The sequence below is a fragment of the Homo sapiens genome, chromosome 2 (genome assembly GCF_000001405.40).
Source record: "Homo sapiens chromosome 2, GRCh38.p14 Primary Assembly".
NCBI lineage: Eukaryota > Metazoa > Chordata > Mammalia > Primates > Hominidae > Homo > Homo sapiens.
In genome coordinates, this window is record NC_000002.12 from 2,654,019 (window position 1) to 2,672,905 (window position 18,887).

The 18,887-nt window shown below is 51.5% G+C and overlaps 1 long non-coding RNA gene across 1 annotated transcript, besides 3 other annotated features; it reads right to left on the reverse strand.

Annotated features, from left to right (window-relative positions):
* Nucleotides 1–915: 915 nt before the first annotated feature.
* On the reverse strand, nucleotides 916–10,132 carry LOC107985839 (uncharacterized). The gene is made up of 3 exons (XR_001739253.1): nucleotides 9,075–10,132; nucleotides 2,478–2,623; nucleotides 916–1,905 (listed from the first exon to the last, which is right to left on the reverse strand). It is a non-coding gene; the product is annotated as an uncharacterized LOC107985839 (long non-coding RNA).
* Nucleotides 2,913–3,886: an enhancer, noted in NCBI's record as "H3K4me1 hESC enhancer chr2:2660703-2661676 (GRCh37/hg19 assembly coordinates)". NCBI's record gives its function as "activates a minimal SCP1, AML or CMV promoter by ChIP-STARR-seq in naive and primed H9 embryonic stem cells {active_cell/tissue: H9 hESC(naive and primed)}" and the evidence as "EXISTENCE:reporter gene assay evidence [ECO:0000049][PMID:30033119]".
* Nucleotides 7,821–8,322: an enhancer, noted in NCBI's record as "H3K4me1 hESC enhancer chr2:2665611-2666112 (GRCh37/hg19 assembly coordinates)". NCBI's record gives its function as "activates a minimal SCP1, AML or CMV promoter by ChIP-STARR-seq in primed H9 embryonic stem cells {active_cell/tissue: H9 hESC(primed)}" and the evidence as "EXISTENCE:reporter gene assay evidence [ECO:0000049][PMID:30033119]".
* Nucleotides 10,675–11,367: an enhancer, noted in NCBI's record as "H3K4me1 hESC enhancer chr2:2668465-2669157 (GRCh37/hg19 assembly coordinates)". NCBI's record gives its function as "activates a minimal SCP1, AML or CMV promoter by ChIP-STARR-seq in primed H9 embryonic stem cells {active_cell/tissue: H9 hESC(primed)}" and the evidence as "EXISTENCE:reporter gene assay evidence [ECO:0000049][PMID:30033119]".

The following is an 18,887-nucleotide window of genomic DNA, read 5'->3' on the forward strand; positions in this document are numbered from 1 at the left end:
AGAGGACAGGTGTGCAGGACAGAATGGCCTTTTCTGCTCTGAAATGCTCTTCCCTCTTTAATATTTCATTGCTGGTTGGATCCTAAGGCACAGCCCGCATTAGGTGCCCATTGCAATATGCCCTTACAAAAGGGCTGTACGTCTTGTCTCTGCTACGAGGCTGAACTGTAATCCACCCTGAAAGATGTATGGCTCCTTCCCCCTCTCCAGCAGGGATGCTGAAGAGCCTAAATTCAGGAAGGAACGCTCTTTTAAAAGGCGATCCTGCTATTAAGGCAGGCTCTAATTTAAAATTGCCACAAGCTTTCTATGCACAAAATACCAGAAGTCCTAAAGACATAAATATGTTTGACTATATACAAGAGTAATATTTTATGTATCGAAACGCTATACCCATGTTAAATGACAAGTGGCAAATGAAAAATATTTGCTACATGTGACAGATCAATATCCTTAAAATATAAAGAAACCTAACCAAAAATAAAAATAAGAATAAAATAACACTGTCAAAGAAAATGAACAGGCAATTGAAAATATAAATGAAGAATATGTGAAAACATTCTAATTCATTAGAATTATAGTTCAAATTAAGATAAAATCTATCTACCATTCATACCTATCAAATTGGTAGAGATGAAAATATTAATAAATGCCAATGAGTATCGTGGAATAAGTGAAAAAATAGAGTTCTCTTATATGTTGGCAAGAATACAAGTTAGAGAAGAATTTCTGGAAGATAATTTATTTTTATTAAAAGCCAACTAAAATCCATACTTTTTGACCTGGAAAGGTCACACTGAAGATTTGCTTTAACAGCAAAAAGATTTACATACAATGTAGTGTATTGCATAGTCACTTCAAGTGTCCATCAGTGGATGACTGCTTAAAGCCACTCATGTATCCAACAAATATTTGTGGACCGTCTGCCATGTGTCACTTATTATTCTGTGTTCTTTTAATATAACAGTGGACAAAACCAGCAAAGACCCTATCCTGCTGAAGCTTCTATTTTAGCTGAGGACACAGACAAGAAATCACTAAATACATCGTAAAATGGCAGATGGCAATGCATGCCGTGAAAGAAAATTTGAAAAGGAAAGAAATGGAGAGTGATCAAGGGCTCTTCCAGCAGAAATGCTTAAAGCCACGAAACCAATGTCATAGAGAATACTTAATAAATTGTGAAAAAGTCTAGGATGTTCTAAAATATAAAAGGATATTATAAAGCAATAAGTACAATACAATACTATTAACACCATGTAGAAGCTAATTCTATGCACTGGAAGAAACGGAGATGTACCGTGAAACATTCTCAGTAGTTTTCTCTGGCCTGGGAGATTATATGTGATTATTTTTAAAGCTATTTCCTCTATTTTCCAAAATTTCTACTCCATTGTGTACTTTGACAAAAACAGAAGGGTTCGGGTCTTTTTTAAAAAAAAAAAATAGCAGTAAGTCTCTCTCCTTGGCAACTTGTTTTATGCATGGAATGATTTGATATGGGCTTAACAGGAGTGTGCGACAAGGGCAGAGGTGATGAGAAGCCTGGGGGAGGCTGCTGCTACATCCTCATCCATCTGAAGAGTGCTCACAGCACAGGGGTTCAGCTCCTCCCTGCAGTGTCAAGGGCGAGACCGAGGGATGCAGGTGGCAGACGGTGAGAAACGTTTGAGCCACAGGTGCCCAGCAGTGTGGGGGTGGCAGTCAGTGTAAGTGTGGCCTCCAAGATCATGCACAGATTAGAGGATCCATGAGGGTTCTCCACAGTGTTTCACCCTTGTCTTTCTAGCTCTGCCTCAGCTCAAAACAGCCTCATCCCAACAGGGCTCAGGCTTTGTTTAACAAGAGCAAGCATTCTTCAAAAATAGCCGGACTGCACCAGCACACAGGAGAAACATTTTCAGGCTATGAAAAAATAAAACCATGAAAATGTGTTGATGGAGACAAGGCTAGCTTTGAAAGAAATACAATATGCAGGGACCATCTTGTTCCAGGGGGAGATTCTGTACCCAAATGTGCAGCATTCATAACGCCTCCACTACTCAGATTGCTTAAATTTACAAAACATATTCCCATTCACGGTTGTATTTATTTTCCAGATTGCACTGTGTTGAGTAGAGGGGCTCTTATCTGCCCTTGACAGAGAAGGAAAGTGACCCACGGAGAGGCAGCCCCCGCGGGAATCCTGACTTCTGCCTCTGAGCAGCCGCAAGGGGGTCAGCACAGAGCCCTCACACGTGGCTGTCGGCGCTGGGTTAACAGCCAGGGCAGACAATGAAGACGGTGGCAGGCTGCTCGGATTCCAGAACAGAGAGCTGTTTATCTTGTACTTTTGTGTCCCAAAGGGTTGGATTTGGCATTTTTAAACCTTCAGATGATAGCCTCTCAGGGCTCAGTCTGAGGTTTATGAGAAAATGGATGTGAAGCAGGGCAGCCTGTGCCTGGGAGGAACCCATCCGGAAGGGCTCGCCGCTTACCTTGTGTGCCCATCGACCAGGACTGCAAACACTTCCCCTGGTGGGGCCAGCCAGCCTGCCCACGGCCTCAGTGCCCTGGAAAACCGCCAGCGTCTCACTGTCGCTTAACACTTTGTGGGAAGTCACTCCTACACTGGCTGCAGACACTTTGGAAGAAAAGAAAGGATCGATAGACTTGCAAAGCCAGGAGGGGAAATACAATAAGCATTTGGTGTTACTGGCAAGGAAAGGTTCATTTTGAGGGTATGCATAATACCCTGAGCAGCAGAGTTCAGCTGCTGTGCCCAGCTCTTCCCCACATTGCTGGGAGCTTTCTCCCAGATTGCAACAGCCTCCGACCCCTCCCCGAATTCTTGATTCTGTCTGTTCTGTTTGTGTTTGCCGTTCAGACTCAGGCCTTAGCTTTTTACTGTTTTGTTTTGTCTCTGCATAAACTACTGGAGGAGCTCATTCACTACTGGATGTCTATGGAAAGTCCAGTGAGATGGTACTTGGACCTTTGAATGCAGGCCTGACTTCCCTGCCACCTGGGCTCTGTGCGTGGAACACCTTCACCTGGATTCCTTCAAATTCAGCACACCTGAGCCAGGTGTAGTCTTTTTTTTTTTTTCTTCCCAGCCCTCTTTCCTTCCCAGTTGCTGCAGCACTCCATGTGGCAGCACATCACCCAGACTCCACCTCAACTGTGTTTCCCTCGAGCAATCGCTGCACCCGCGGAGCTGTCTTTTGGTCCTCATAGCAACCCCACCGACGAGGAAGGAAGTGTGGCTCAGAGAGGCAGACACTGGACCCAGGCATCAGAGCGCCTCAGAGGCAAGGTCTGCATTTGGTGCAGCTTCCAACGCTCCCCACGGCTCCACTGCTGCTTCTTGTACATGCTTGGCTGCCATGCCCCAGGAAACCCCACCAGCATCTCTGTTGAGAGGTACCCACATGTTCTTCTGCGTGTTCACTTCACAAAGGATCACGCAGCCTCCTCACCCCAGGCTGTGCACATCAGCCCCACCTCCCTTGGGTGGCATGTTCCACCCAGTGCTGTTCAGAACCAAGGACCTCTCTGGTGTTTTCTGCCTGAGGAGCCCCCGCCTGCACCCAGCAGGGAAGACCCACAGCAAGGTAAAGCTGTGAGTGCAGTTTGAGGACAGACAGACCTGACTTCAGGCCAGACACACCCACAGCTAGCTAACGGTTCCCATTTGCTGACCTGCTGTGCCTCACCTCAGAGGAAAATAACAATTGCCCCTGCCCTAGAGGGTCATTTAGAGGTGACTGTGGTGACGTGGCAGGAAACTCATTGGGTGGTATTCACGGTTCCTCCATGGTCAAAATAAACACCTGTACCCAGGTGGTTGCTGCCCTCCTTCATGTTCTTCCTCTCCTGCCCATCTCTGCAAATTCTCTGTTCCCTCATGGTTAAAACATTCCTGAGGATGCCCCTCTTGCTTCCTGAAAATGTCCAGTGACCTATCCATAAAAATCCCACCATCTGCTAGGTGAGACGTAAGGCCTGGGGAGAACCCCCTGGGGTAGGTGATTTTTATCAACACTGCAAGATAGAGAAATACAACTCAGGGTCCACAGTCAGGCTGCAGAAATGTCATCTAATCTCCCAGTCACACTTGTTCAAAATCAGTTTCCTCATCTGTGCAGAGTAGGTAGTGATTGAACTAACTCCTTGTGTAGACTGTGGAATGGCAGGGGTTTTAAACAAAATTTTCTGAAGTGGGGATAATATTATTGAATTTCTTGTAGAATCATTATGAGATTGGCCATTTCAAAATAGATAGAATTAACAATCTTCATGTAAACAGGCTTGCACCAGAACAAAAAGCAAAACCAAAAATACAAAGACAGTGAGGATAAATAAAGCAGGCCAGATTAACAGCATCTAGTGTCTTCAAAATAGAGTGAGCAAGAGATGACCAGTCCTGCACTGCAGTAGTCAAATCTCACACTACTATAAAGAGCTACCTGAGACTGGGTAGTTTAGGAAGAAAAGAGGTTTAATCAATTCAGTTCCACAGTTTTTACAGGAAGCAAGGCTGGTAAGGCCTCAGGAAACTTACAATCATGGCAGAAGGTGAAAGGGAAGCAAGCACATATTCACAGAGCCAGCAGGAGAGAGAGGGAGAGAGTGAGACCACACACTTTCAAACAACCAGATCTCATGAGAGCTCATTCACTATCACAACAACAGCAAAGGGAATGTACACCTCCATGATCCAATCACCTTCATTTTATTCCATGGGGAATACAATTCAACATGAGACTTGGGTGGGGGCAGAGTCGAACCATATCATTCCACCTCTGGCCCCTCCCAAATCTCATGTCCTTCTCATATTTCAAAACACAATCATGCCTTCCCAACAGTCCCCTAAAGTCTTAACTCATTCCAGCATTAACTCAAATGTCCAAGTCCAAAGTCTCATCTGAAACGAGGCAAGTCCCTTCCACCTATGAGTCTGTAAAATCAAAAACAGGGTTACTTCCAAGTTACAGGCATTGGGTAAATTCTCCTATTCCAAATGGGATAAATTGGCCAAAACAAAGGGTCTACAGGCCCCATATATGTTCAACACCCAGCAGGGAAGTAATTAAATGTTAAAGCGCAAAGGTAATCTCCTTTGACTCCATGTCTCATATTCAGGCCACATTGATACAACGGGTGGTCTCCCAAGGCCTTGGACACCTCTGCCCTGTGTCTGTGTAGAGCTCAACTCCCATGGCTTCTCTCAAGGTTTGGCATTGAGTTTCTGTAGCTTTTACAGAGGCACAGTGCAAGCTGTCTGTGAATCTACCATTTTGGGGGCTGGAGGATGGTGGCCCTATTCTCACAGTTCCACTGGGCAGTGCCCCAGTGGAGACCCCTCACATTCCCCTAGTAGAGAACTCCACACTGCTCTAGTAGAGGTTCTCTATGAGGTCTCCACCCCTGAAACAGGCTTCTGCCTGGACATCCAGACATTTCCCTACATTCTCTGAAATCTAGGTGGGGGCTCCCAAGCCTCAACTCTTGCCCTCTGTACACCCACTGGCTTAATACCATGTGGAAGCCACCAAGGTTTCTTATGGCTTGCAACCTCTGGGGCAGTGGCCTGAGACATATCTGGGGTCCTTTTAACCATGGCTGGAGCTGTAGTGGCTGGGAAACAGGGTGTCATGTCCAAAAGCTGCACAGAGCAGTGGGGCCCTGGGCCCGGCCTGGTCCATAAAACCATTTTTCTCTCTTAGGTCTCCAGGGAGGCCTCCTGTGGTGGGAGGGGCTGCTGTGAAGGTCTCTGAAATGCCTTGGAAGTATTTTCCCCATCATCTTGGCTATTAACATTTGGATCTTTTTTACTTATGCAAATTTCTGAAGCTGGCTCAAATTCCTCCCACTGAAAATGGGTTTTTCTTTCCTACCACATGGCCAGGATGCAAATTTTTCAAACTTTTATGCTCTGCTTCCCTTTTAAATATAAATTTCAGTTTCAGGTAATTTTTTTTGCTCATGAATATGAGCACACCCTGTCAGAAGCAGCCAGGCCAAATATTGAACACATTGCTGCTTAGAACTTTCATTCACCAGATACCCTAAATCATGTCTCTTAAGTTCAAAGTTCCATAGATCCCTCAAGCAGGGGCACAATGCTGCCAGGCTCTTTGCTAAAGCATAGCAAGAGTGACCTTTACTCTAATTCTCAATAATTTCCTAATCTCCATCTGAGACCACCTCAGTCTGGACTACACTGTTCATATCATTATCAGCATTTGGGTCACAACCATTCAACAAGTCTCCAGGAAGTTCCAACCTTTCTTACATCTTCCTGTCTTCTGAGCCCTCTAAACTGTTCCAACCTCTGCCCATTAGCCATTTCCAAAGTCACTTCACATTTTCAGGTCTCTTTATAGCAATGCCCCAGTTCTCTTGAACCAATTTCCTGTATTAGTTTGTTCTCACACTGCTGTAAAGATATATCTGAGACTGGGTAATTTATAAAGAAAAGAGGTTTAATAGGCTCACGGTTCTGTGGGCTATGCAAGCTTCTGCTTCTGGGGAGGCCTCAGAAAACTTACAATCATGATGGAAGGTGAAAGGGGAGCAGGCAGGTCTTTACATGGTCAGAGGGAGAGAGAGAGAAAGAGAATGACAGAGGAAGTGCTACACACTTTTGCACAACCTGATCTCACGAGAACTCACTATCATGAGAACAGCAAGGGAGAAATCTGGCCCCATGATCTGATCATCTTTCACTAGGTCTCTCCCTCAACATTGGCGATTACAATTCAACATGAGATTTTGGTGGGGACACAGAACCACACCATCTCACACACATCTGGATCACAGAGGCGCAGTGCAGTATGTGCTGGAGACAAGAGCTAGGGGCACGGGAAAGTCAGCTCTGGAATCTCACCACGTTGCCTGGGAATCCATTGCTGGGATTGAGCTGTGGAAGCAGGAGGTGAAGGATATGCAGCAGGGGACCCCTGAGGGCAGCAGACCAAGCAGGGTCGGCCTTAGGAAGGATGGAACAGGAGACACACAGGAAAGTGAGTCCTGGACCAGGATAAGGTGGGCGTCACCCCCACAGCAGAGCCCGGGGAATGATGGCTCCAGCTTGCTATCAAGGCTGTGGGGAGGGACAGACAGCAGGTATGACATCACTCTCCAGACGTTCCTGGTGCAGGAGAGCTCAGGAACCCTTTACTTTATTGCTGGGTTACAAAGTAAACCCAGGCTTTACTTTGTTGCTGTCTTTGTCATTTGTTTATTTGTTTTAGCTCTGCCTTCCTGGTTTTCTTCCCAGAATCTCCATTCCTTATCCAAATTAACTCCCCTTTGGATAGAGTTTAGCCAGTGCTGTGTGCTGATTGTGTCCCCAAAGGGACACATCCAAGTGTTAACCTTGGTGCCTGTGAGTGCGACCTTGTTTGGAATAGGGCGTGTGCAGATGTCATCAAGGTAGGATTTCAGGTAGACCCTATGACCAGTCGCTGGCTTCTTGACGGAAGGGGTGAGGTCACAGAGCCTCATGCAGAGGGAGGACGGCCCGATGGCGATACAGGCAGAGACGGCAGTAATGCGGCCATGGACTGGAGAAGACCTGGAACCACCAGGAGCCAGAAGAGTCAAGGAGGGATTCTCCCCCAGAGATTGTGGAGGAAGCATGGCCCTGCCAACACCTGCATTTGGCTTCCAGCCCAGCACTGTGAGACAATAACTGTGTGTTGTTTGAAGCCACCACATGTGTGAATGTGTCACAGCAGCCCTAGGTAGACCAGGCAGCCAGGCGCTGCGGCTGGGTCCAGTGAGGGCACGCACTCTGCTGATTTTGGTTTTTTTTTTTCTTGAGGCGGAGTCTCGCTCTGTCACCCAGGCTGGAGTGCAGTGGCGTGATCTCGGCTCACTGCAAGCTCCGCCTCCTGGGTTCACGCCATTCTCCTGCCTCAGCCTCCTGAGTAGCTGGGACAACAGGCACGTGCCACCACACCCAGCTAATTTTTTGAATTTTTAGTAGAGATGGGGTTTCACCATGTTGGCCAGGATGGTCTCGATCTCCTGACCTCGTGATCCGCCCTCCTTGGCCTCCCAAAGTGCTGGGATTACAGGCTCTGCTGACATTTTGTTTTGCAGCCCTGCTGAGCTGGCTGCCCTGGGGCCCCTGCTTTCTAGCCTGAAGCTTCCTGAGCTAGTGTTTAGAGGAGACACTTTTAAACAACCAGATCTCATGACCCAGTGCTCACTGCCCAGAAGACTTGGTGCCAAGGCCTGGCCGAGAGGCTGCCTGGCCAGCTTTCAGATGAATCAGGAAGTGCAGGGCCCAGTAATGAGCCTCTCCTGAGTTGCCGGCAGGAGTCAAGGCAGACGAGGCAGCCCTTGTCATCCACACGAGCTCCCCAGGCAGCCCACGTCAGTCCCGGCAACTGAAATGGCTGCACAAGCTCTTGTTTATATTGCACCAAGCTCTGATTACCTCCCCAGTCCCCACCAGCACACACACACCTGCACATTACCCGCCTGTCCCTGGTGCTCGCAGCTTGTGCTGTCCCTGGAGCATTCACAACCAAGAGCCGCAGCTGTGTCTGCTCGTCCCAGCCTCCCAGCCTCAACAGCCACACAGACTTGCAGGGACAGGGCTGGCAGGTTAGGAGGCCACTCTCCACATAAGACAATTCCCTGTTTGTGCTGCAGGGCGGAGCCAGCTGTGGCGATGTCTGCTTTCCCGTGGGGGTTGCAGGCTTATAGGACACCTGCCCGCACTCTGGGGAAAGGTAGCTCATGGCCCCAGAAGGAATGTCCCAGGCAGTTGGGGACCCGCTCCTCCACGCCCATCCTCCCCTTGGTCCTGAGCTCCCAGGGTATCTGTCCTGATGACCCAGACCCCTGGGAGGCCCTGAGCCCTCACCTGCCCTAGCAGGGTACAAACCCTCTTCTCTGTGACTCATGTGAGCAGAAGCTGAGCAAACACAGGAGTCTCTCCTGCCAAAAACGAGAGCCGTGCATCCAACACAAGTCATCCAGTTCAACCACTTTCTAGCTGGGAGACGCAGGGCAAATAACATATCCTCTGTGAGTCTCAGTCTTTCTGTTTTAGAAACGAGGAGTATGATTCTTACCTTAGAGAGTTACTGCGAGAATGAAATCAGATGCACTGCACCAAGCGTCCAGTGCAGTGCTCTCGGCGAGTGAGCCCTCTGAAGGTGCAGTTCCTCCACTCGCCAACCTTTCCAGTAAACAATACACACTGCTTACCATTTATTTCTGAGGATTTTTCCTGGCAAATTATTTCACACTGGGAAGCACAACTATTTCAATGCACCTAGAGTCTTCAAAAAAGTACAAAAGTGAGCCAAAAAAAGTCACCTTAGTTCTGTCTCAGCAAACGTCAAAACTTCATTGGTCTCTCAAGCCCCTGTTCTGCCTAAGAGTTCTTGCATGTAAGATGGGGCACTTCTGCGGGACCTCAGGGGCTGAGAAGGCAGCCACACACGCCTGAGGACCCCCTCCCCTCGGAGTGGCGTCTGTGTGGTAAGGGTCTTGCCGGGTTGCCGAGAGTCATGGGGAGGGAAGTCAGGTGTAGTGCCCACCTCCGGCATCTGCCAGTGTCTACCTTTTGGTTACTGGCCTCTGAGCCTCTGCCCCTCAGCAGGTTGGGGGTTGTACATCGCCACTGACAGGTAGATCGACGAAAGTCCCGCTGTCCTCATGATCTCGGCCACCGTACCTGGCCACATCCACCGTGCACCCTCTCCCAGAGCCGCTGTGCACCATGGGCAGCCCCCTCCTTTTCCAAGCAGCTGCCCGGAGTCCTGTACCTCCCTGTGGGGCCGGGAGACGAAGGCTGTACTTGGGAATCACTGCACTTATGACTCAGTCGGGCATTGACTGTGTGCCTGGAGAAGGTCCCGGGACTCCTGCTCAGGGAGGGAGCACTTTTCACCCCAGCTCCCAGTAAAGGTCAGTGTGAGTGTGTGGGTGTCCCACGTCCTCCCTGTGTGGGAGTGTGTGAGGGCGTCACACAGGACACACACGCAGAGACAAGGAATACACTCACACACACTCACACACAGAGAGGACACGGGATACACTCTCCATACTCAGACACACACAGGGCATGGGACACTCACACACACGCACGGAGAAGACACAGGACCCTCTCACATTCACACGTGCAGACAGGACACCCCCCCACACACACAGAAAAGGACATGGGACTCTCACACACAGAGAGGACACAGGACACACACACACGCAGACAGTACACCCTCAGACACACAGAGAGGACATGGGACCGTCTCACACACCGAGAGGACACAAAACACTCTCACACACACAGAGAGGACACAGCACCCTCTCACACTCGTAGACATGACACTCTCAGACACAAACAGAGAGGACATGGGACACTCACACATGCAGAGAGGACACGGGACACACACACGCAGAGAGGACATGGGACACTCACACTCACACACAGAGAGGACATGGGACACTCTCCATACTGAGACACACCCAGAGGGCATGGGACACACTCTCATATGCTCACACACACAGGCTATACACTGACATTTTTCCACGCACATGAAGAGGACCCCCTCTCACACACACATACACTGAAGACATGGGACACATTCTCACACACAGAACACAGGAGGCACTCATGTACTCACACATAGTCACACACTCACACAGAAGACACAGGACACACTCACATACACACAGATACAGACAGCACACACACAGGACGTGGGACTCGCTCTCACACACACACATGCACACAGAAAATACGGGGCACAGTCACAGACTCACGCATGGGGGACACACTCATATACTCACACAGACAGCACACAGTCACACACACCTAGTAGCACACATACACTTTGCACACATCTGTACACACACCCCACACGTGTGCACACACCCCACACGAGCACATCCCCCCACGCGTGCACACACACACATATGCACGCACCCCGCACACCTGCACACTCACTCTCATCTCTACTTCTCTGAAGCCATCACCCGGGCAGGTCCACCTGAGGCTGCCTTTCTCTCCATAAGAGGATTTCCTGGCTTCCACCTCTCAGTCCCCACTGCCGTGCTGTCCAGTGTGAGTGGCTGCCTCTGGCCCTGCTAGGGCCGTCGTCTGCTCTCTGGGTCACAGGCTGCCTGGTCCACCGGCTGCACCCCTATAAGTTCTCGTGAGACCTGCAGAGCCCTGGGCCCTGGCCTGCCCATGCCCACCCACCGGGGAGCTCCTTGGCTCAGGCTCACAGGTTCCAAGGCCTCCGAGTTACTCGGGCTGTGCACAGGCCGCCAGCTCACTCACACAGACAGAGGCCCTCGCTGACTCACACAGTGGCCGCCAGCTCACACACAGACAGAAGCCCTCGCTCACTCACACAGAGGCCGCCAGCTCACTTACACAGACAGAGGCCCCCAGCTCATTCATGCAGACGGAGGCCACTGGCTCACTCACATGGACGGAGACCGCCAGCTCACTCACAGAGACAGAAGCCGCTGACTCACACAGGCAAAGGTCCCTGGCTCACCACACAGACGGAGGCCCCCGGCTGACTCACAGATGGAGGACACGGGGCTCCTGGGTTTCCCTCCTGCCGACAGCTGGAGCGACCGGGGCAGGCCTCACCTTCGTGGGAAGGGGAGTCAGGTGCCCTTCCACAGCAGGGGGTCTAGACACAGCCCTGCCTCACGGAACCCAGCCCCGGCTCACCTCCTTCCCCAAGGCCTCACTGTGCCCAGCCCCATACCCAGCACACGCAGGCCCTCAAGGACACTCTACTCTCAGGGACATGTGCCCTATGCACCAGGCCAGCTTGGCCACACCCAACCCTTCTTTCACTGTCCAGGCCCAATGAGGCCTTCTCCTCGAGTCCTCCTGGACTCCCGGGAGGTGCCAGGTTCCCTCTGCATCCCGACTGCTGGCTGCCACTCCCCTCACCTCGCTACTGAATGCACTCATTTTCCTGGGCTCATGGCTACCACGCTGAAGTCGGCCCCTTCGTCGGTCTTCCTGCTGCACCCTTCCTCTCCACACCATGCTCTCCATTCCGGGATCTCACACGTGCATTTGATAAGTTACAAGTGCTTGTTGAGAAATGCCGGTGTCCTGTCCCATCTCCATGAAAGCCGAGGTGGGCCCCTGGGTGCCTGCACGCAGAAGACCCTCTAAATCCTTACAGAACAGGTTACTCTCTGCATTCCCAGAATGGAGCAGTGCCTGGGATAGAGCAAGGGCCTCAAACGTGCCTGTCCACTGAAACTGGAACTGGTGAAGCTCCCAATTTAACAGCATGTAGATACCATGCATAGCAGTACCGAGGTGTTAGAGTTCTGTGTATGTGCTCCATTTCACTTACTTTCTCCATTTTTCCCCGCATTGATTTGCCTCAAATGGTGAAAACATCATTGCATATTTTAGACAGAGCAAAGCCACAAAGAGGTTCCTATTACTTAAAACCTATTATTAACACCAAGCGCTCCCCAAAGCCAGGTGTAGGATATATTTATACCACATTTAACTGTTTGAATTTCAATTTCAAATGGATAACACATGGACTGAGCAATCATGCAAAGGCATTCCTCTTCCTGGGCATGGGGACGAGGCTGTTTGTTGTTTGTTTGTTTGTTTTGAGACAGAGTCCCGCCCTATTGCCCAGGCTGGAGTACAGTGCTGTGATCTCAGCTCACTGCAACCTCCGCCTCCAGGATTCAAGCAATTTTCATGCCTCAGCCGCCCGAGTAGCTGGGATTACAGGCATGTAACACCACACCCAGCTAATTTTTGTATTTTTTAATAGAGACAGGGTTTCGCCATGTTGGCCAGGCTGGTCTGGAACTCCTGACCTCAAGTGATCTGCCTGCCTCGGCCTCCCAAAGTGCTGGGATTACAGGTGTGAGCCACCGTGCCCGGCCATGCTGCTGTCTTTGTAGAGAAAGCTTCAGTCCCATGCCAGACCTAGAGGGCCACAGCCTCTGTCCTGAACTTGGCCACTTCAGCTCACTCTTTGACTTTTGTAATAGCCCTTAAGTGACTTCACTGATCCCCACCTGTGGCAGTGAAAGCTGAATGTACACTATGCACTGTGCTGAGCAGTTACTACTATCTGAAGGCTACCTGGAAACACATGCGAAGCTTTGAGGGGTCTTTGCCCATAAACCCCGACACCTTCCAGCAAGGGTCCTCTTCCGGACGGCAGTGGGTTGCCTTGAGACTCAAGTTCACAACCAGGCTAGGAGATGAGGACTCCCAAGCTCTCCATTCAGAACCTCCAGATGGGACAGGAGCCCAGACCTGCATTCTGCAGGCCCATGCTGAGGTTTATTGTCAAATGCAAGGGAGGGTCGGTTACGGGTTCCCCAGGTGATATGGAGGGCACCAGTCACAGTGACCACCTGTCAAATGGAGGTGATGATTTAATGCAGCAGACGTGTTGTGGAAACGCAGAGATCTCCGATACACATTCCTGGCTAGCAGTAGCTGCTCAAGAAACATCACTCCCCATTTTGTAACACTGCAGCCTATGTGCAGGGAGATAACTGTTCCATGGGAAACAGCAGCCCTGGAGGAAAAGGACTCGCGTTTGAAATGTGGTTGACATCTCCCAGGTGATACAGCTTAATCTCTCTGAACCTCGGATGTCTTATCTGTAAATAGTGAAGACAAGTGCCTCACAGGGCTGCTGTCACGATTAACCATGAGGTGCTGCACAGCAGAATTCCTGTCAGCGCCCAGTTCTTTTCCTGCACAGAGAGCTCAGGTGCACATTGACCTGGTGCAGGACATCAGTCTCGGCTCTTCCAGGTTGGATGCCAGCCTCAGTCTCAGAGCTCAGGCACCTTCCAAGTCCCTTCCCCTCCCACTTGGCCACTTGCCACCAGACAGCTCCCTCTAATTTCTCCCCACTTGGCCCAGCCATGAGCCCTGGCCAGGCCACCTGGCTGTGATCTGGTGATCACACAGTCCACCGCTGTGTAGTGCACAAGAGGCTGGACATCCAGTGCATCGAGTATGTGTGTCAGCTCTGCCTAAGTCAACCTCTCCCTGGCAATGCTGAAAACCTCAGTGAAGTTAAGAAAACAGGTTGCAAGGTTCATGTTACCTTGGGGTCACTTTGTGAGTCCCATAGCTGTGGCTGGAAGCGGGTACTGGAGTATCCTCTGGAAGAGAGGATGGTCAGTTCTGAGCGCTATGCACATCACTGAAATGGAAACTGCAGTCATGATTAACCCCTCTCTCTTCAGTGCATCTGAAGACTTGGATGAGTGCTCCTGATTCCAGGTCATCTTCACAATGCAACTGAAGCACCCTTCGAGCTCTGTCTGTTCCTGATTAAAACTGTCACCTGAAGAGATGCCACATGATTGCGGAGGCCAGAGAAGCGGCCGAGTAGGGCTGCCTGGAGTCATTGTCCACCTCGGCCTCCACAAAAACGGCCTCCCTCATGCAGAAGACCAGCCCTGCAGACTGCTGGCCATAGTGGGCCACACCTGTCATTCGCTTAGCGGAATCTTGATTTGTTCAAAAGAATGGCACCCTTGCCTCTGTGGCTGCAAAAAAACTTCTGGCCAATGCCCAGTGGTCCCGACAGGCCCAGGGGAACTCGACCAACCCCTCCACCCTCAGTGGCCAGGGGCCCCACACCCATGGCCTCCAGTGCGGACCCTGCCTGCCCGTGGGCTGTGCTCCCTCTTCCCCCACACCGTACACTCCCGGCTCATTCCTGCCTTGGCTTTTTACGTGCGAAATACAAATCCTCCGTTCTTCACTCTCCTGCAGCCAAGCCTGCTTCCCGGGGTCTCAGCAGTGTCTCCAGCCAGGAAGCCCTGAGTACTCCCTTGGTGTGGGACCTCCAGGACAGGCCTGCGAACTGCTGATGGTCTCACCCAGGGTGACGCGGGTGATTCTGGCGGCGTGTGAGGGGTCAGAATGATTCACAGAAGGGCCCCGAGGATCAAGGAGGTGTCCAAGGGGCTGCTGCCAGCCAAAGCTCGGAGTGAAGCTGCATTCACGGAGCCCAGGGAAACGGCAGGAGCCTCACTTGGGGCGACGCCTGGTCCAGGTGCAGCCACAGCGGGTTTGCTGCATCTCTGTGTGGAGCAGCCACAGCTCAGGTTCTGTTCCCCCCACCCCCCTTATCGGGCTCCAGTCAGGCCCCAGCACACACATGGCCCGGTGGTGGGACACGGGTGTCAGGTAGCTGCTGCAGGGCAGGGCTGAGCAAACAGGATGTACCTGCCCCTGGCTCAGGTGGGCTCAGGCCCCTTCATGCAGCGAGGAGTCAGGGCCCCCGAATCTCTGGGAGGACGCATCCTAGGGGATTTCCTCCACGGTGTTGGAATTGAAGGACTTAATGACGTCCCTTCCCATGCGCACAGTGTCCCAGGCACGTGCCTCAGCCTCACATGCCGGGGCACAGGGCTGCCCTGCGAGGTGGGAGGAAGACCTAGGTGAGGACCCGGAGCCAAGGGCTTTCCTGACCGTGAAATTGCAGGTGAGGACCTGGAGCCGAGGGCCGGTTCTAGCTGCTCCAAGCGCCCGAGGGCCAACGTTGGCAGTGGCCTCCAATGCCCTGAGCCTCATGACCCTTCATCAGCGTGACTGGTGACAGTGGCCACAGGCCTGCGGACCTGCCTGGCCAAGCGGCCTGGGGGAGCTGGCCCATTGAGTTTCTTTCCTGGTCACTAGGAACTAGAACACAGAGGTGTGGGTTGGCTTCTCTGGATGCTTGAACTGAGAAAAGTTAGAAGTCAGATGGGACCCAGAGAGGGTGGAACATTTTTGAGCTATAAAAACGAGAGAATGGGACAGAGCAGAGAGGCAGCAGTGGAAGGTGGGAGTCCGAGAAGAGGGACAGAGTCACAGAGGGAGAGCAGGACCCCTGGGGCCCCACACCCCAGCCCTTCATCCAAGCCTGAGAGGGGTTTGTGGCCGCTCCCACCCCTGGAGCCCCTGAGCTCGGACCGCATCCCCCGACCCCTTGAGTCCCTGAGCTGGGACTGAGTCCCCCAACCCCTGGAGCCCCTGACCTGGGACCACATCCCCCGACCCCTGGAGCCCCTGACCTGGGACCACATCCCCCAACCCCTGGAGCCCCTGACCTGGGACCACATCCCCCAACCCCTCAAGTCCCTGAGCTGGGACTGAGCCCCCCAACCCCTGGAGCCCCTGACCTGGGACCACATCCCCCAACCCCTGAAGCCCCTGGGCTGAGACTGCGTCCTTCAGTGATCTCAGCTTCGTGTTTCTGAGCTAACGGCAGCACATTCCAACTCCAGGATTGCCGAGCTCGTGTTCATCCCTGAGCTTTATCGAGTGTTCTCCATGGGCCAGTTACCCCCCATTCATTCTATGTGTGCCACTTCAAGGAAGATTCATGTCTCGCCTACCATGAGAATACTACTTCATCTTGTCCCCATCGTACACATTTTAAAATCAGAAAACAAAAATATGAGACAGAGAGAAAATGGGTGGTGTGCATGACACAGCAGGACCAGGAGGCCACAGAGTGCCTGGCCGGTGCAAGAGGGAGAAGCCTAGGGCTCTGCACTGTCCCACGGAGATGGAGCTGCCCAAATGGAGCAGGTCGCCCTGACACTGAGCCGGTCTCTCCTCCTCTAATTCATGCTTAATTGCCTTTCATGAAGCCAGCTGTACAAGGCAAAATGCCTTTGCTGGGCTGCCTTTTGAAAAGTTCTGCTCAGTTCGTCTCCCGCTCTCCATCTTGGTTCAGCCCAGGCTGCCATCTCCCGTTCCTTCACCACTGCAGCCAGGCACCTCTCCAGAGTCAAGTCCAACAATGCTGGTCCTCACTTCACTGTCTTTATGGTTCCCCAGAATCGACCTCCAGTCTATTTCCATATTTTCAGGGTTCTTTATCACCTGACCTCTACCTGAGTTTACTCCTTCACCCTGTCACCCCAAATCCAACTTCACAACCCAACCCCAGAGCCAGCACGACCTTATTTGCTCATGATACTGACAAAAACACAACAGGAATTCCTGCCTGGTGGAGCCTGCAGTGTCTGGGGGAGACAGACAATGAAGAGTGAACTGAATGAATGAGAAAGCATAGAGTTTGTTAAAGGTTAAATGTGCTGTGAAAGAAAGAGGAAGCAGAGGGGTCCAGGAGGCCCAGGAAGGTGAGCGTGGGGGATAAGCAGAGTCAGCGAGGGTGGCCACGTCACCCCTATTGAGAAGGAAGTGTTTGAGGGAAAGCTTGCAAGGATGGGGGAAAGAATCCAACAGGCTCTGGGGGAAGAATTCGAGGCAGACAGAAAAGCCATGAGAAGGCTGGGCGTGGTGGCTCACGCCTGTAATCCCAGCACTTTGGGAGGCCGAGACAGATGGATCAGGAGATCAAGACCATCCTGGCCAACATGGTGAAACCCCGTCTCTACTAAAAAAATACAAAAGAAATTAGCCAGGCTTGGTGGTGGTCACCTGTAGTCTCAGCTACTTGGGAGGCTGAGGCAGGAGAATGGCGTGAACCCGGGAGGCAGAGCTTGGAGTGAGCCGAGATCACGCCACTGCACTCCAGCCTGGGTGACAGAGCAAGACTCTGTCTCAAAAAAAAAAAAAGAAAAAAGAAAAAAAAAGAAAAGCCACAAGAAGGACCTTAAGGGAGCTGTGGAAGAAGCACTTCACAGGGGGAAGATCGTACCTTCAGTTCCGGACGGGCGAAGCTGGAAAAGCCTATTTGACACTCAGGCCGGATGTGAGGTAGACAGAGCAGGAATGGGTGTGAGCTGGAGAACATCTATCAGCTGGTGAATCCTCGTCAGAGAGACATCGTTGAAAATGGAGGGAAATGCTACGAAGACCAAACATTGAGCCCTGAGTCAAAAGGGCCACAGTTAAAAGGTCTTCAAGATGTGTAAGGACCAGCAGGGAGTCTGAGAATGAGCAGTGGGTTCAAAGGGAAACCAAGATGGCACCATGTTCTTCGAGCTGGTGAGTCCTGCTTTCCAGGGACAATGGGCCATGACTACGCTGAGGGAGTCCCAGAAGGGCAGCCGCATGGGGCCTTCGTCATCATGGGGCCTGGGCGAGGCAGAAGTCCAGCTGGAGTGAGTTTAAGACAGAAAAGAAGGGGAGGAATTGGAATTCACAGGATGACCCAAGGGTTTTACTGCAAAGAGGCACAGATCCCTGGAGCAGCAGCTGAAAGGGCGGATTGGGTGAAACACATTACTAACTAAAAAAAAACAGATGGCTACAAAGACCCAAGGAAATAGCATTGATCTGAGAAACAAAGAACTGCCATTTGAATATACTGAATCAGGGCAGCCCTGAAGAGCGTCTTGCGAGGCAGGCGCGTGAGGGGGTTTGGAAGGGGATTTTCACAAAAAGCTGGTTTTCGAGGCCTTTCCTTGATGAGGCCCTGAGTCCTACTCAGCCCCGCTGTCCCCAGGTCCTGGCCGTGGCCTGGTAATCACATGGCCCATCACCGTGTGGTGGACAAGAAGCTGCACAGCCAGAGAGTTAAGCAACTGCGCCAGCGCTGCCTAAGTCAGCCGCTCCATGGCAACGCCAAAAATCTCAGGGAAGCTGAAAAAGCAAAACCTTTAAGGAAGCCAGGTTTATATTGCATTTAGGGTCACTCTGTGAGTCCTGCAGCTGGGACTGGACACGGATACTCGTGTATCCTCCGGAAGAGATGATGGTCAGTTCTGAGGGCTGTGCCTGTCTCCAACATGGCCATTTGTTGGCTTGGCAGAGATCCTAAACTGCAAACCTGTTCTGCTTGGTGAGATAATCAGTGTGGTCCTAGTGAAGAGTTGTAGAAGGCTGGGGGACAGTGACTTCAGTTGCTTCCTCAAGTCTACCGGAGCATCTAGCAGGTGTGGGTGCAATGCTGTCACCATCTTCCAACCCCTCTTTAGAAAGCCTTAGTTACCTCACCTTC